General features: G+C 45.4%; 2 protein-coding genes and 1 long non-coding RNA gene across 4 annotated transcripts in view, besides 4 other annotated features; 1 reads left to right on the forward strand and 2 right to left on the reverse strand.

Moving 5' to 3' along the window:
- The window catches only part of SOD2 (superoxide dismutase 2), a 93,213-nt gene extending 91,189 nt beyond the window's left edge, over positions 1-2,024 (reverse strand). The window contains exon 1 of the mRNA NM_001322817.2: positions 780-2,024. The gene's annotated coding sequence lies outside the window, so the exon portion shown is untranslated. The remainder of the gene's footprint in view (positions 1-779) is intronic.
- On the reverse strand, positions 1-2,075 carry SOD2-OT1 (SOD2 overlapping transcript 1). Its single transcript, NR_037166.1, has 2 exons — positions 1,737-2,075; positions 1-1,379 (listed from the first exon to the last, which is right to left on the reverse strand). It is a non-coding gene; the product is annotated as an SOD2 overlapping transcript 1 (long non-coding RNA).
- Positions 1,041-1,100: an enhancer, noted in NCBI's record as "active region_25391". NCBI's record gives its function as "activates an Ori minimal core promoter by ATAC-STARR-seq in GM12878 lymphoblastoid cells {active_cell/tissue: GM12878}" and the evidence as "EXISTENCE:reporter gene assay evidence [ECO:0000049][PMID:35858748]".
- Positions 1,531-1,590: a silencer, noted in NCBI's record as "silent region_17754". NCBI's record gives its function as "represses an Ori minimal core promoter by ATAC-STARR-seq in GM12878 lymphoblastoid cells {active_cell/tissue: GM12878}" and the evidence as "EXISTENCE:reporter gene assay evidence [ECO:0000049][PMID:35858748]".
- Positions 1,611-1,760: a silencer, noted in NCBI's record as "silent region_17755". NCBI's record gives its function as "represses an Ori minimal core promoter by ATAC-STARR-seq in GM12878 lymphoblastoid cells {active_cell/tissue: GM12878}" and the evidence as "EXISTENCE:reporter gene assay evidence [ECO:0000049][PMID:35858748]".
- Positions 1,788-14,811, forward strand: part of ACAT2 (acetyl-CoA acetyltransferase 2) — a 17,068-nt gene continuing 4,044 nt past the window's right edge. Inside the window, exons 1-4 of one of the 2 annotated variants that reach the window (NM_005891.3) lie at positions 1,788-1,885; positions 2,662-2,796; positions 6,748-6,929; positions 8,254-8,371. In NM_005891.3, the coding sequence (NP_005882.2) occupies positions 1,831-1,885; positions 2,662-2,796; positions 6,748-6,929; positions 8,254-8,371 (490 nt within the window). In that variant the 5' untranslated portion in view covers positions 1,788-1,830. Of the gene's footprint in view, positions 1,886-2,221; positions 2,523-2,661; positions 2,797-6,747; positions 6,930-8,253; positions 8,372-14,811 lie in introns of those variants that run through there. The other variant, NM_001303253.1, reaches the window with a different exon arrangement.
- Positions 3,169-3,669: an enhancer, noted in NCBI's record as "H3K4me1 hESC enhancer chr6:160184458-160184958 (GRCh37/hg19 assembly coordinates)". NCBI's record gives its function as "activates a minimal SCP1, AML or CMV promoter by ChIP-STARR-seq in naive H9 embryonic stem cells {active_cell/tissue: H9 hESC(naive)}" and the evidence as "EXISTENCE:reporter gene assay evidence [ECO:0000049][PMID:30033119]".

The following is a 14,811-nucleotide window of genomic DNA, read 5'->3' on the forward strand; positions in this document are numbered from 1 at the left end:
TTTGATGTGCTTATAGGAAATTTTATTTATTTGAGACAGTTTCTCTCTGTCGCTCAGGCTGGAGTGCAGTGGTGTGATCTCGGCTCACTGAAACCTCTGCCTCCTAGGTTCAAGCGATTTTCCCATGTCAGCCTCCCCAGTAGCTGGGATTACAGGCGCACGGCACCACGCCCGGCTAATTTTTCTATTTTATGGTAGAAACGGGATATCACCATGTTGGCCAGGCTGGTGTCAAACTGCTGACCTCAAATGATCCGCCCTCCTCGGCCTCCCAAAGTGCTGGGATTACAGGTGTGAGCCAAGGTGCCCGACCTGATGTGCTTGTAAGAATTTAAATGAAGAGGGTCAGTCAGCTTAGGAGACGAGGTTAGATGTAAGGATTTCAGACTTGTCAGTATACAGGTGGTGATTGATGCCGTAGGAATGACTGGTATTACCCAGGGAGCTGGTGCAAAGTAGGAGCCTTGGGGAACATGTTAAGGGGATGTGAGAGTAAGCCCACAAAGACTCAGAAGTGGCCAGGGAGTAAGGGGAAAATGGGATAGAATAGAGCAAAAGCCACGGGAGGCATTCCTTGAATTCCTTGGACTCAGATATGTTAGGGGACAGGAAACACATTGAAGACAACTGAAGAGACTTCAGTGTGCTGCTGAGTTCTTAGCAGAGTAGACAGCTGATTTCACCACTATTCCAGACCCTAAAGATTTCTCCTGAAATTGCACTGTTATGCAATTTTTTTCCTTCTCTATTGCCCCACCTCTGGGGCCTACACTCTTTACCTTCTCTGATTTATCTGACCCATCCGCATATCTCTGCAAAGTCTTAATGTAGGTTTCCAGGATTTAATGATTCTTTCAATCAACTTTAAAGTTCTTCAGGAAGATTCTCCAGGTCCGTCAACAGTTTTCCCCTTCATGACTTTGTGACAAAGCTTTCTTGTTCCACTATCCAGGTGTTCCCAACAAGTTGCTGTAACGGTGGCCCCTCATAAGCTTGCCTGGAAACCCTAGAAAGCTCAGAAAAATTATGAACTTTGCCCAGTAAGAGGCTGGGAAGTCAGAAAGGGTTTTAAACAAAACTGACCCCACTTGTTACATGCTCCTTTCACTGTCCAAACGTCAACCAAAGGAACTTTTGTGACGCTAAGACGCTCCCGGCGTCCTCACCCGTTCACAGCCAGAGTTGATCTTAGAAGGCAGGGGGCTCGCACCGAGACGCTCCTAGCAAGCCCCTCACGCGAGCGAATGACTGGCGCCAGGAGAAACGCATAGGACCTCCCGAAGCCGCCGAGAGCAAAAGGACCCATCAGAGCTGTGCTGAGACCCGCCGCGGGCCGGGCTCGCACTCGAGATTCTCGCCCGTGGGATTCCAGTCCTGAGCTGAACGAGAGATAAGTCTTTGTCACCCCCCAGTCTTTACTGTTTCGAGAAACCCTAAGATTTTTTAAAAAAAAGCCCAAGACGTCAAGTCGGGGAACTCCAACATTGGGGTGTCCAGAAACACTGGGGTTTCAGGCGCTCTGTAAATGCGTCCGAGGTCCGCGGTTCTGCCCGCAAGCCCAGACCCCGGCCTCACTTCCGCCCCGCGCCCCGCGCCCCGGCCTCACTTCCGCCCCGCGCCCCGCGCCCCGCGCCCCGCGCGCCTCCGCCCGCCCCTGCTCCGGCCTTGCGCCTGCGCACAGTGGGATGCGCGGGGAGGTGGTGCGCGGGGAGGTGGAGGGCGAGGGGCGGGGCTACCTCAGGTCCCGCCCGCGGCAGGCCTGTGGGCTGCGAGGAGGAGCTTTGCCTAGCTTGCAGGCAGCGCAGGGCAGACGGCGGCAGGAGAAGCAAGATGAATGCAGGCTCAGATCCTGTGGTCATCGTCTCGGCGGCGCGGACCATCATAGGTGAGTGGCCGGCGGGAGCCGCGCAGAGTCCGAGGCGCCTGCTGCTTCGGCAGGAGCGCCGAGGGCCGGACTTGTGTAGGAGAGGGGCGTATGTGGAGGAAGCCGGTCAGGCCAAGCCGCGAGGAGCCGCGGGATCCCTGGAACCCTGCGGCTCCCGCGTTCCCTGACCTGGTGCTACAGCCCCACCCTCTCCTCTCCCGATGTGCGCACTCCGTCCCTCGTGCTTGGATTGGCTCCCGGGGTAGAGCCATCGCGTGGCCTGCCTCTCCCATTGGTTGGCGTAGGGAGGTGTTCTCCTCCGGGGCCCCTGATTGGCCGGCTCCGGGAGGCGCCATCGGTAATGCCTGCGGCAGGGGCGGAACTGCTAGGTGGTCTGAGCCCGGCTTTGGGCTGGGGTCGGGCTGTCACACAATGGCTAGAAGTCGTGACTTCGTCTCCTTCGTGCCGCATGGTTTTCAACGCCCTTGACCCGCCGGTTCCTTTTGTTTGGGAAGCATGGGGTCGCATCCAGTCCTTCGGATTTGGGGAAATAGAAGGGCTACAGCGGCGTCCCTAGGCCGTTCTGGAGGTCGCCTGTCCAGCCCTCGGCTGCTGCGAGTTGTGGCACCCACCTTGACCTTTGCTCAGACCAGCAGGTGTAGGAACGTGTGGGAGGAGAGGGCACTGCCTCCTCGCGTGGCCTTGCCAAACAGGGTCATGAGGCTCCCCTGCTCGTAGGTGGTTCCCGTATTACCCGCAGGCTTGTGATGTCCACGCTCTCCGCCTTTCTATTGTAGGTTCCTTCAATGGTGCCTTAGCTGCTGTTCCTGTCCAGGACCTGGGCTCCACTGTCATCAAAGAAGTCTTGAAGAGGGCCACTGTGGCTCCGGAAGATGTGTCTGAGGTCATCTTTGGACATGTCTTGGCAGCAGGTAAGTCTCAGTGATTCCAGGAGAAGTCAGGCTTATTAGAAACAGCCCATAAACACACACACACACACACACTCTCACACACTCACACACTCTCTCACTCACTCAAGTTCTTGCCTCCTTGCTTTTGCTCAGAGTTCCCTCTGTTATGATTCCTCCTGTTGGCCCCCTTCTTCCAGCCCTGTCAGTAGCTTCTATCCAGCTTGAGACTCAGCTTCTTGGCCAGGCAGGGTGGCTCCCGCCTGTAATCCCAGCACTTTGGGAGGCGGAGGAGGAAGGATCACTTGAGTCCAGAAGTTTGAGACTAGCCTGGGCAACAAAGCAAGACCCCGTCTCTACAAAAAATAAAATAGCCAGGTATGATGGCCTGTGCCTCCCAGCTACTGGAGAGGCTGAGGTGGGAGGATCACTTGAGCCCAGGAGTTTGAGACTGCAGTGATTGTGTCACTGCACTCCGTCATGGGTGACAGAGTGAGACCCCTTCTCTAAACAAACAAAAAGACTTAGCTTCATTAATATGCTTTTTGTGAATGAACTTAGACCACTGACCTACACCACCTACACTGCCTTTTCTTTTCCTTTTTTTTTTTTTTTTTTTTTTTTTTTTGAGACGGAGTCTCTCTCTGTGGCCCAGGCTGGAGTGCAGTGGCGTGATCTCGGCTCACTGCAAGCTCCGTCTCCCGGTTTCACGCCATTCTCCTGCCTCAGCCTCCCGAGTAGCTGGGACTACAGGCGGCCCACTGCCTTTTCATTCTTACGAAGCAGGGCCGGCCGGGCCCGGTGGCTCACGCCTGTAATCCCAGCACTCTGGGAGGCCGAGGTGGGCGGATCATGAGGTCAGGAGATCAAGACCATCCTGGCTGACACGGTGAAACCCCGTTTCTACTAAAAATACAAAAAATTAGCCGGGTGTGGTGGCGGGCGCCTGTATTCCCAGCTACTTGGGAGGCTGAGACAGGAGAATGGCGTGAACCCGGGAGGCGGAGCTTGCAGTGAGCTGAGATTGTGCCACTGCACTCCATTCAGCCTGGGCAACAGAGTGAGACTCCTTTTAAAAAGAAGAAGAAGAAGCAGCAGCAGGGCCAGCCTGACGCATAGGAAAGTATGCCTGCTCCTCCTTACTACCTCAAAGTGTCACTCATTCAACAAAAATGTATTCAGTTCCTCCTATGTGCCCCATACTGTGCTTAGTGCTGGGAGTATGGTTCCAACAATACAGGTAAGTTCCCTGCCCTCTTAGGGCTCAGTTCTGAGCTTGGAAAATAGGTGCCACATCATGCCCCTTGCAAATGGGGCATATCACTCCCCAGAGGAATATAGCTGAGTCCTGAGAGTGCCCCCATCTTCTGATTCTTTGGGTTTGAACACTCGTAATTAATTAATTAATTATTATTATTATTATTTAAAGAGACAGGGTCTCACTCTGTTGTCCAGGCTGGAATGCAGTGGTGTAATCAATCGTAGCCCACTATAACCTCAAACTCCTGGGCTCCACGGTATCCTCCCACCTCAGCCTCTGGAGTAGCTGGGATTACAGGAGCAGGCCACCACACCTGGCTAATTTTTTAAATTTTTTTGTAGAAGTGGAGTCTGTCTGTTGCCTGGGCGTGAGTGCAATGGCTGTTCACAGGCACAATCATGGTGCACCATGCCCTTGAACTTCTGAGCTAGCTGGGACTACCGGTGCATGTCTACTAAGTTTAAGGCTTTTAAAGCACTGTGCTAAATGCTTTCCTTTCATTACCTCATTTAATCTTCCTCACAAGTCTGTTATATCCTATTATCTTCATTTTACAAATGAATAAATGAGAGTTTAAGAGGTTAAATGACTTACCAGGGTCACAGTTTGAAGTGGAGCTAGCACTTGAACTTAGATCTGTCCTATTCCTTGAGCCAGATACCTTCTACAATCATGTAACAAATGTTTATTGAGCACCTACTTTGTGCCAGGCACTATTTTAGCAGCTGGAGATAAGCAATGTTCATATCAGATAGAAATTCTCATTCTCATGAAGCTCGTAGTATGCTAAATGCTAGCATTATTAATTGTGTTAGCACCTCATTTCTTTCTTTTTCTTTTTTTGAGATGGAGTCCCACTCTGTTGCCCAGGCTGGAGTGCAGTGACGCAATCTTGGCTCACTGCAACCTCTGCCTCCCGGGTTCCAGTGATTCTTCTGCCTCAGCCTCCCAAGTGACTGGGATTACAGGTGCCTGCCACTGTGCCCAGCTAATTTTTGTATTTTTAGTAGAGATGGGGTTTCAACATGTTGGCCAGGCTGGTCTCGAACTTCTGACCTCAAGTTATCCACCCGCCTCGGCCTCCCAAAGTGCTGGGATTACAGGCATGAGCCACCATGCCCAGCCCTGTACCTCATTTCTTCTTTTTCTTTTTTTTGAGATGGAGTCTCACTCTGTCGCCCAGGCTGGTGGAGTGCAGCCGTACAATCTCGGCTCACTGCAACCTCTGTCTCAGGTTCAAGCAATTCTCCTGCCTCAACCTCCTGAGTAGCTGGGATTACAGGCGTGCACCACCATGCCCAGCTAATTTTTGTATTTTTAGTAGAGAGGGGGGGTTTCACCATATTGTCCAGGCTGGTCTCAAACTCCTGACCTCAAGTAATGCGCCCCCCTCCCCCGGCCTCCCAAAGTGCTGGGATTACAGGTGTGAGCCACTGCTCACAGCCTGAGGCACCGCACTGGGCCTGTCTTTTTAATATGTATATGATCCTGCATATGTTTTCAGTCTCAAGTAACCTTACCCGTTTTTAGTTTCCAGCCTAATCCCAGATTGATAACATTGTGATGAATATAATCTCTAAGTTTTTATCAGCGACTTATTTGCTAGTTCTTCCCCACAAACTCTCCAAGGAAGGGTGGTAGGTTTGAGTATATCTGAAACTGGGAATAGAGTAACCACTTTATAAACATTTACCATTGACTCTGATAACAGACAATGGCGATTGAGAATATTTGAAACTTTTAACTCCATTCTCTTCTGTGCTACTTTAAGTAAATTATGTATTTCTTCCCAACTAAAGGAAGTCCCATAGTTGAATTATGAAAAGATATTTGTGTTTCAGTACTCAGAATGAGAAAAAAAGGTATTTGTGAATTCTGAGTTTGTATATATTTTGTTATATAACCATTTAAGCATAGTGTAATGAATACTAAGCAAGAACAGAACTGCTTATTATCAAAGGTTTTCCTTTTTAAGTAACCCTTTTTCTTCTCAAGTGTCTTAAGCCATGATCTTGGGAGCAAATGGCCCTAGTTAGAAACACTGATAATGCCTAGGTTATATCCTGTGTTTATTAGACATAGGTTTGATAATGCTTATTTAAGCACCCCCCCGCACTTTTTTTTTTTTGAGACGGAGTTTCGCCCTTGTTGCCCAGGCTGGAGTGTAATGGTGTGATCTCAGCTCACCGCAACCTCCGCTTCCCAGGTTCAAGCAATTCTCCTGCCTCAGCCTCCCTAGTAACTAGGATTACACTCATGCGCCACCACGCCTAGCTAATTTTGTATTTTTAGTACAGACAGAGTTTCTCCATGTTGGTCAGGCTGGTCTCAAACTCCCGACCTCAGGTGATCTGCCCTCCTTGGCCTCCCAAAGTGCTGGGATTACAGGCATGAGCCACCGCGCCCAACTATTTAAGCCATATCAAAAGATGAGGATGACACTTCTTTCTTAATGTATTAATGACTTATTTATGGAGGAGAAAGCTTATATCTATGAAATACCTACAGAGCAGCACAAGGCAGTATATATTCAAGGGCTAGACTGTGACAGGTGGAGAGTGTATACAGGCCTTTTTGCCTCCAGTGGGCACTTACTTGACCTGTAGGCTTTCAGAAGTGGCAGGTAACCCAACTGGCAATTTTCCACACACTTTCACTGTGACATTTTGTCTTTCTCCTTGATTGCTAAGAGTCCTCTGTGTTCCTCTTTCTAGGCTGTGGGCAGAATCCTGTTAGACAAGCCAGTGTGGGTGCAGGAATTCCCTACTCTGTTCCAGCATGGAGCTGCCAGATGATCTGTGGGTCAGGCCTAAAAGCTGTGTGCCTTGCAGTCCAGTCAATAGGGATAGGAGACTCCAGCATTGTGGTTGCAGGAGGCATGGAAAATATGAGCAAGGTAAGGCCTCTCTGATGAGGTGGCTTTCACTGACCTCACACTGAGAAACTCATGTCTATGCCAGAACAGAGTAAACAGATGCATAGCAGAGCTGGAACCAAACAGTGAACAAATAAACAGAAATGACAACCTTGATCCCTACTTGAATGTGAAGTATTCTTCAGTTTGGGTGGGAAATCCGGGTTGATAAGAAGTTTATCAACCAGTGTGATTGGAACCGAATATACTTTTTCTAAACTATTAATGAAGCATGTAATATTTTCTGAATTAAATTCATATTAGTTGCTTGATGTCCTTGGTTTTAAATTTCTTTCCCATTGTGAGTAAAAGGCAAAAAACAGATGTTGCCACTTACCTTCCTGCACATGACAAGGAGATCCTGGGGACCAGACTTTTTGACCTTTTCAGGGTATAGAACATGTAAAAGAGGACCACCAAGTGGTGCCCTTCTCCAGTAGGTTTGCCAGGCATGATTTGTTTCACCAAGTTCCATACCTCAAACTGGCATAGTGGTTGAAAGAAAAACTATACCCCCTGCTTCCTACTGATGCAGCTCAGGGGCTGAGGTGCAGATTCCCTAGATAGAAGCTGATTCAGCCCAGCCATTGCTGAGGTTCAGGAGGAGGCAGGCTAAAGGTAACAAAAATAATCGGAGTGATTTTGATGGGATGATACTGACATCTGTGTAGTACTTTACCAGGTGCTTTTGTACATGTGTTCACAACAGCCCCATATAGGGTAGATGATACCATTCCCAGTTTACAGGTAAGGAAACTGAGGACCAGAGCCAGCATTCAAATACAACTCTTCCGACTCTAAGTCCAATCAATGACTCTTTCCATTCTAATATACCTGCTGTTGAGTTGGTGAGAGTTAAGACTGGCCGCTACTCAGAAATCCCTCCCCATCATTTAGTTAGCCTGATTATTCTCACTGTAGACATTATGTCATCCATTGAAATAGGTAACACATTGTTAGCTTTACTTAAGCCCTTAGAGGATTTCTTCATTTAACAGATAATTAATTGCCTCGATGGAAAGAATAAATGGAATTCTTAAGGAAACAGGACACAGAATGGGTAGGTTTGAGGGAGAATTGAAAATGGGTAGGTAGGAGAGTAATCGTTCCCAACAATAGGAAAGATGAAGTCTGCTAATTCCAGGGGTCTTTAGACCTTGGCCTGGCTGAGGACCTAGAACTGGGGAGAAGGGCTGCAAAGGGGCCTAGATGAAGACTTAGGAAATACTAGATAGTTTTGAGTTGTATTCTGGGGAGAAGACTAATTGCAACTAAGCCTAAATCCATTTTTATTTCTGACTTCTAGGCTCCTCACTTGGCTTACTTGAGAACAGGAGTAAAGATAGGTGAGATGCCACTGACTGACAGTATACTCTGTGATGGTCTTACAGATGCATTTCACAACTGTCATATGGGTATTACAGGTAAGGCAGACATGGCTGAAACTGTATTAGCTTTAAAAAGGTTAAAAAGACCATATACTAATCTGCTTCTTAGGTGCTTTCGTCCTTATGGCCAGAGACTGTCTTAAGGATTTTTATATCTCTTCTTTGATTAACTGAAGTGAAGTAAGTATTCTCTTCTTTGTGAACTCTTGATTATCAGAGAATGTTAGAAGTGGGAAGTACCTCAGAGTTCTTCTGGATCAACCCCTCATTTTACCAAATGAAGAAACAGGGCCCACAAATAGTGCTTCTGTGGCAGAGGTAGTGACAGAGATAAACCAGTTGTTTTTTTGGTACCTAGCTGTACTTTTTGTACTACACAATTGGGTTATTGGTCATTCATGCTGAAGGGTCCTGTGGTCTAAGTTTAATGGCAAAGCAACTGGGAAATCAAAAGCACTCTTGTCTTTAGTATACATGTAAAACTTAAGAAACAGAATAGACATTTTAGAGTTAAAGAATCAAACCCTGAGAAGTTAAGCACCTTGCTCAAATGCATGCAGCAATGGCTCTGGTTTTATGTAACACATAAATATGTGAAAAAGGTAATGGGGAAAAGTACAAGATTCCAAGAGGGAACTGTGTGCATGAATGCTAGGAAGGAAGGAAGGGCTTAGGGATATGGGAAGCAATGAGAAGCTCAAGGCATCTTGACCACTTCTCGACTTACAGCCACAACAGAGAAGGCTATAAAAACACAGGCAGACAATGGAAGACACTGTGTGACCAACTGCCTCAACCATAACTAGAGGTGGTCATTAAAAATTCAGATCCCGAGCCCTTTCCAAGGTGTACTGTGGATTGAATGGTACTCTTCCAGCCTCCAGAACTGTAAGAAAATAAATTGCTCTTCTTTAGAAAAAAAGAAAAGAAAAAAGGCTCAGGTCATGATGGAGTAATTGACAAAGATTAGATTTCCTACTATAAACAAGCATAAAACTTGTGAAAATATATAAAGCCACTGTTTTATGTATGTCAGGTTTTGACTAATACTCATGTAAGACTGAGATCCTTGAGAGAAGGGAAAACCCCACTGTCACTGTCTCTACCCAGGGCACTTCCCAAACTGTGTTATGGAGAGGCAGAGCCTAAGCTGGAAACAGTGGTCTCAGTGATCTGAAGAAGCAGAGAATTTGGGGCTTCTGAGATGGCTGGAGTTTGTGGGGCAGAATAAGGGGGAGAAGAAAAAAAGAGCTCCAGAAATCTGCAAAAGGTTCCCCTTAAGTCTTTGATCAAATACTAAGCTTGTAGATAACAGCTTACAAGGCCTAGTAGAAAAGAGCTGCAAAGGAGAGGTGAACTGGAGATTTTATAGATTACTAGGAGATAAAAGTTCTGGACAAGCGAGTGGAAACCTTACTGAACTCCTTGGACACTCCATTGACATCTCAGAAAGACCACAGTTTAGGGGTAGGGCCAAAGCCATAGAGTAAAAGCTACTCTAGACCCAAACTAATAAGCTTAAAAACAAGCCTCAAAAGGATCAAGGTGATTTGCCAGTATTTTGACTGCTTGTGGAAACAAAACTCAATATATTCTCTAAAGATAATAAAATCTCTATGTCCAGTTATGTAGCAACTATAATGTTCAGCATGCAATGAGAACTTTCTAGATACACAAAGAATTAGGAAAATATAGCTTACAACCAGGGTGGAAAAAAACCACAACAGTCAACAGACCCTGCAATACTAGAATTATCAGATGAGGATCTTAAAGGCTCTATTTTACATATGTTTAAAGATACAAAGGAAAATATAATCTTCATAGAGGAATAGATGTGGACATCTCAGGAGTAAAAGGAAAAAATATAAACAAGAACCAAATAGAAATTCTAGAACTTGCAAAGTACACAATCTGAAATTAAGAATTCACTGGGATGGGGCCGGGCATGGTGGCTCGCACCTGTAATCCCAGCACCTTGGGAGGCTGAGGTGGGAGGATCACTTGAGGCTGGGGGTTTGAGACTAGGCTGAGCAACATAGTTAGACCTCATCTCTAAAAAAAAAGAAAAAAAAATTCTGAATGGCCTTAACAGCATCTTGGAGACAGAAGAAAAAGGGTCAGGAAGTTTGAAGATAGATCATATACACGACCTGAAGAACACAGAGAAAAATAATGAAGAATAAATGAACAGGCCAGGCACGGTAGCTCACGCTTGTAATCCCAGCACTTTGGGAGGCCAAGCCGGGTAGATCATCTGAGGTCAGGAGTTCAAGACCAGCCTGGCCAACATGGGGAAACCCTGTCTCTACTAAAAATACAAAAATGAGCTGGATGTGGTGGCCCATGCCTGTAATCCCAACTACTTGGGAGGCTGAGGCAGAAGAATAGCTTGAACCCAGGAGGTGGAGGTTGCAGCAAGCTGAGATCACACCATTGCGCTCCAGCCTGGGTAACAAACAAAACTCTGTCTCAAAAAATTAAATTAAATTAAATTAAATTAAAAAATAGGCCAGGTGTGGTGGCTCATGCCTGTAATCCCAGCACTTTGGGAGGTCAATGCAGGCAGATCACCTGAGGTCGGGAGTTTGAGACCCACATGACCAACATGGAGAAACTCCATCTCTACTAAAAATACAAAATTAGCCAGGCTGGTGGCGCATGCCTGTAATCCCAGCTACTCGGGAGGCTGAGGCAGGAGAATCGCTTGAACCTGGGAGGCGGAGGTTGCGTTGAGCTGAGATCACGCCATTGCACTCCAGCCTGAGCAACAAGAATGAAACTCCGTCTCAAAAAAATAAAATATAAATGAACAGAGCCTTGGTGGTCTGCAGGACAAAATAAATAGGACTAGCATGCATGGAATAGGAATCTCATACATAAGGAAGAGAGAGAATGGGGCAGAAAAAAACTGAAGAAAATTTCCACATTTGGTGTGAAAAGAAGTTCAAAGACCAAGATAGACAAGGGAAAAATTACACCTTAGCAAATTGTAGCAAAAAGTTAAAAAAAGATCATGCCACTGCACTCCAGTCTGGGCAACAGAGTGAGACTCTGTCTCAAAAAAAAAAAAAACAAGAGTGAAAGTGAAGAGCCATTTTTAGATGAAGGAAAATGAATTGCCTGCACACCTACACTACAAGAAATACTAAAGGAGCCAGGCATGGTGGTATGTGCCTGTAGTCCCACCTACTCAAGAGCTGAGGCAAGAGATTGCTTGAGTCCAAGAGTTTGAGTCTAGCCTGGGCAATGCTATCATAGTCTACTATGATTGCACCTGTGAGTATCTACTGCATTCCAGTCTGGTTAACATAGTGACACAACAACAACAACAACAACAAAAGAATAGCTTCCAGCCGGGCGCGGTGGCTCACGCCTGTAATCCTAGCACTTTGGGAGGCCGAGGCGGGCGGATCATGAGGTCAGGAGATTGAGACCATCCTGGCTAACACGGTGAAACCCCATCTCTACTAAAACTACAAAAAATTAGCCAGGTGTTGCAGCAGGTGCCTGTAGTCCCAGCTACTCTGGAGGCCAAGGGAGGAGACTTGCTTGAACCTAAGAGGCGGAGGTTGCAGTAAGCTGAGATATTGCACCATTGCACTCCAGCCTGGGCAACAAGAATGAAACTCCATCTCTAAATAAATAAATAAATAGTGTAAATAAATACTGTATAAAATGCAAAGCACTCAGAATAGCCAAAACAATTTTGAAGTCAGAAAATAGCACTTACATGCTCTGATTTTAACATTACCTATAAAGCTGTTGTAAACAAGACAATGTGGTTTTGGCATAAGGACAGAGAAAGAGAACAGAGTTCAGAAATAGACCCAGACTTATGCTTGTTTTCAACAAAGGCATCAATGGAATGAAATGGAGAAATTAAAGTCTTTTCAACAAATGGTGCTGGAATAACAGATTACTCACATGGGAAAGATGAACCTAGATCCCTACCTCACACCCTATATAAAAGCTAATTTGAGATAAATCGTGGATTTAAAAATAAAAGCAAAAAATGTAAAGCTTCTAGAAGTATATATAAGAGAATAGCTTTTACAGGGTGCAGTGGCAGGTGCCTATAGTCCCAGCTACTAGGGAGGCTGTGGTGGGAGGATCACTTGAGGCCAGCAGTTTGAGGTTGTATAGTATACTATGGTTGATTTTGCCTGTTAGTAGCTGCTGCACTCCAGCCTGGTCAACATAGTGAGACATCATCCAACAAAAAAAAAAAAAAAGAAAGAAAAACAGCTTGATAAGTAAAGACAAGACATAGAAAGCAAAGCAATAACTTTTTTGTGTGTGTGTGTGGAGACGGGTCTCACTCTGGCACCCAGATTGGAGTGCAGTGGCTCAATCTTGGCTCACTGCAACCCCCACCTCAGCCTCCTGAGTAGCTGGGACCACAGGTACTCACCACCATGCCTGGCTAATTTTTTGTATTTTTTGTAGAAATGGGGTTTCACCATGTTGCCCAGGCTGGCCTCAAACTCCTGAGCTCAAGGGATCCTCCCACCTCAGCCTCCCAAAGTGCTGGGATTACAGGTGTGACCCACCAAACCTGGCCAATTCTCACATTTGTAGAAGAGAGTTACAAATACGGAAAGGGAGAAGAATGTAGCTTGTGGTGTTAGGTTGCATTTTGGAGAACTCAAAATGCAGTATGAACTCAAGGTGTTACCATGAGTGTGTGTGTATATGTAAAATTATAAATAATACATATGGAAGTTTCTACTGAACAGACCTAGAAACAATGACAAACCAGTAACAACAAGCAGTCCTGACACCCAGATCTTCTAAATACATTTATCCACTAAAAGGAACTAAGGTTGTTTGGAGAAATGGCCCTTTCCAAGGCTAGGGAAAAAATGCTAAAAAATTAAGGACATGCTCAGGGACATGTTGAAAGCACACAGGAGGCAGCCTACGGGGCTTCCACTTTCCTGTAGTGGAATTTTGAACAATTTGAGCATCAGAGTCAGTAATGATAGTAATGGGTTGTAACTGCCCAAATTTTGAACAATTTCAGCGTGCAAATAAGTTATGATAGTAATGGGTTGTAACTGCCTAAATTTTGAACAATTTCAGCGTGCAAATAAGTAATGATAGTAATGGGTTATAACTGCCCAAGTATTGAAAAATTTCAGCATCAAAGTAAGTAATGAGAGTAATGAGTTATAACTTATTCAATAAAATGAAAATGTATGAGTCCATCCTGATATAAATAACTGAATAAATGGGAGAAAAGGAAAAGGTTTTCTTTGTGGTAAAATGCCAATTAATATCTTACCAATAGAAGGAATGTTGGAGTTAGAAAGTCATGAATGAATGCTAAAACTAGTGGGTGAAAATATGATGGGGAAGAAGATATTTGGATAATCCAAAAAGAACCTCTGATAAATTATTGATTACTTATAAATGAAAAAATGGTACCTTTAAAAGCTAGAAACCTGGTGAATACCAAACCATTTTAACCAAGTGATCAAAGATAACATCACCTGGGATAAACTGATTGTCATTTGTGTCCTAATAAGACTCACTGAGAAAAATCATACTATCATTCAGTGGTATACCTGCCTTTTGGCAGAATCTTAATCTAATTCTGAGGAAACATCAGACAAATCAAAATTGATGACCCTTAACAAAAGAACTCGCCCATGTTCTTCAAAAATATCAAGCTTAAGAAGCATAGTCTGAAGAACTGTTACAGACAAAAGCAAACTAGAGAGATTGATAGTTGTACAATGCATGCTTCTTTATTGGCTCAAATAAAGGAGCTAGAAGGACATTACTGAAATATAGGTGAAATTTGAATGTGGACCAAGGATTAGATAATAGTGTTTGATTCATGTTAAATTTCCTGATTTTTGTTTTGTTTTGTGAGACAGGGTCACCCAGGCTGGAGTGCAGAGGCACAATCATGGCTCACTGCAGCCTTGAACTCCTAGGCTCAAGTGATCCTTCTGCCTCAGCCTCCCAAGCAGCTAGGACTACTAGCTACATGGCACACACACCATGCCCGGCTAAATTTATTTTTAATGGAGACAGGGTCTCGCTGTGCCCAGGCTGGTCTCAAACTCCTGGGCTCAAGTGATCCTCCCACCTCGGCCTCCCAAAATGCTGGGATTACAGGTGTGAGCCGCCACACTTGGCCCAATTTCTTGAGTTTTATAACTGTGCTTATGTAAGAAAGTGGCCTTGTTTTGGGGAAGTATACACTGAAATTAAAATTTAAGAGTAAGAAGGCATTGTATCTCCAACTTTCTCTCAGATGGTTCAGAAAGAAAATATTAAAGCAAATGGAGGGAAAATATAAATGGTGACTCTGGGTGAAGGAAATTTCTGTAAGTTTACAATTATATAGAAAGGGAAGGAGAGAAGTATGACTCCTGAGAGTCACTGCAACATTTCCAAACCAACTGCCAGTGGCAGGCAGGGCCACCCCACACAGAGCATTGCACAGGCCACCATGAGCCTGCTAG

The sequence above is a fragment of the Homo sapiens genome, chromosome 6 (assembly GCF_000001405.40).
Source record: "Homo sapiens chromosome 6, GRCh38.p14 Primary Assembly".
NCBI classification, from domain to species: Eukaryota; Metazoa; Chordata; class Mammalia; order Primates; family Hominidae; genus Homo; species Homo sapiens.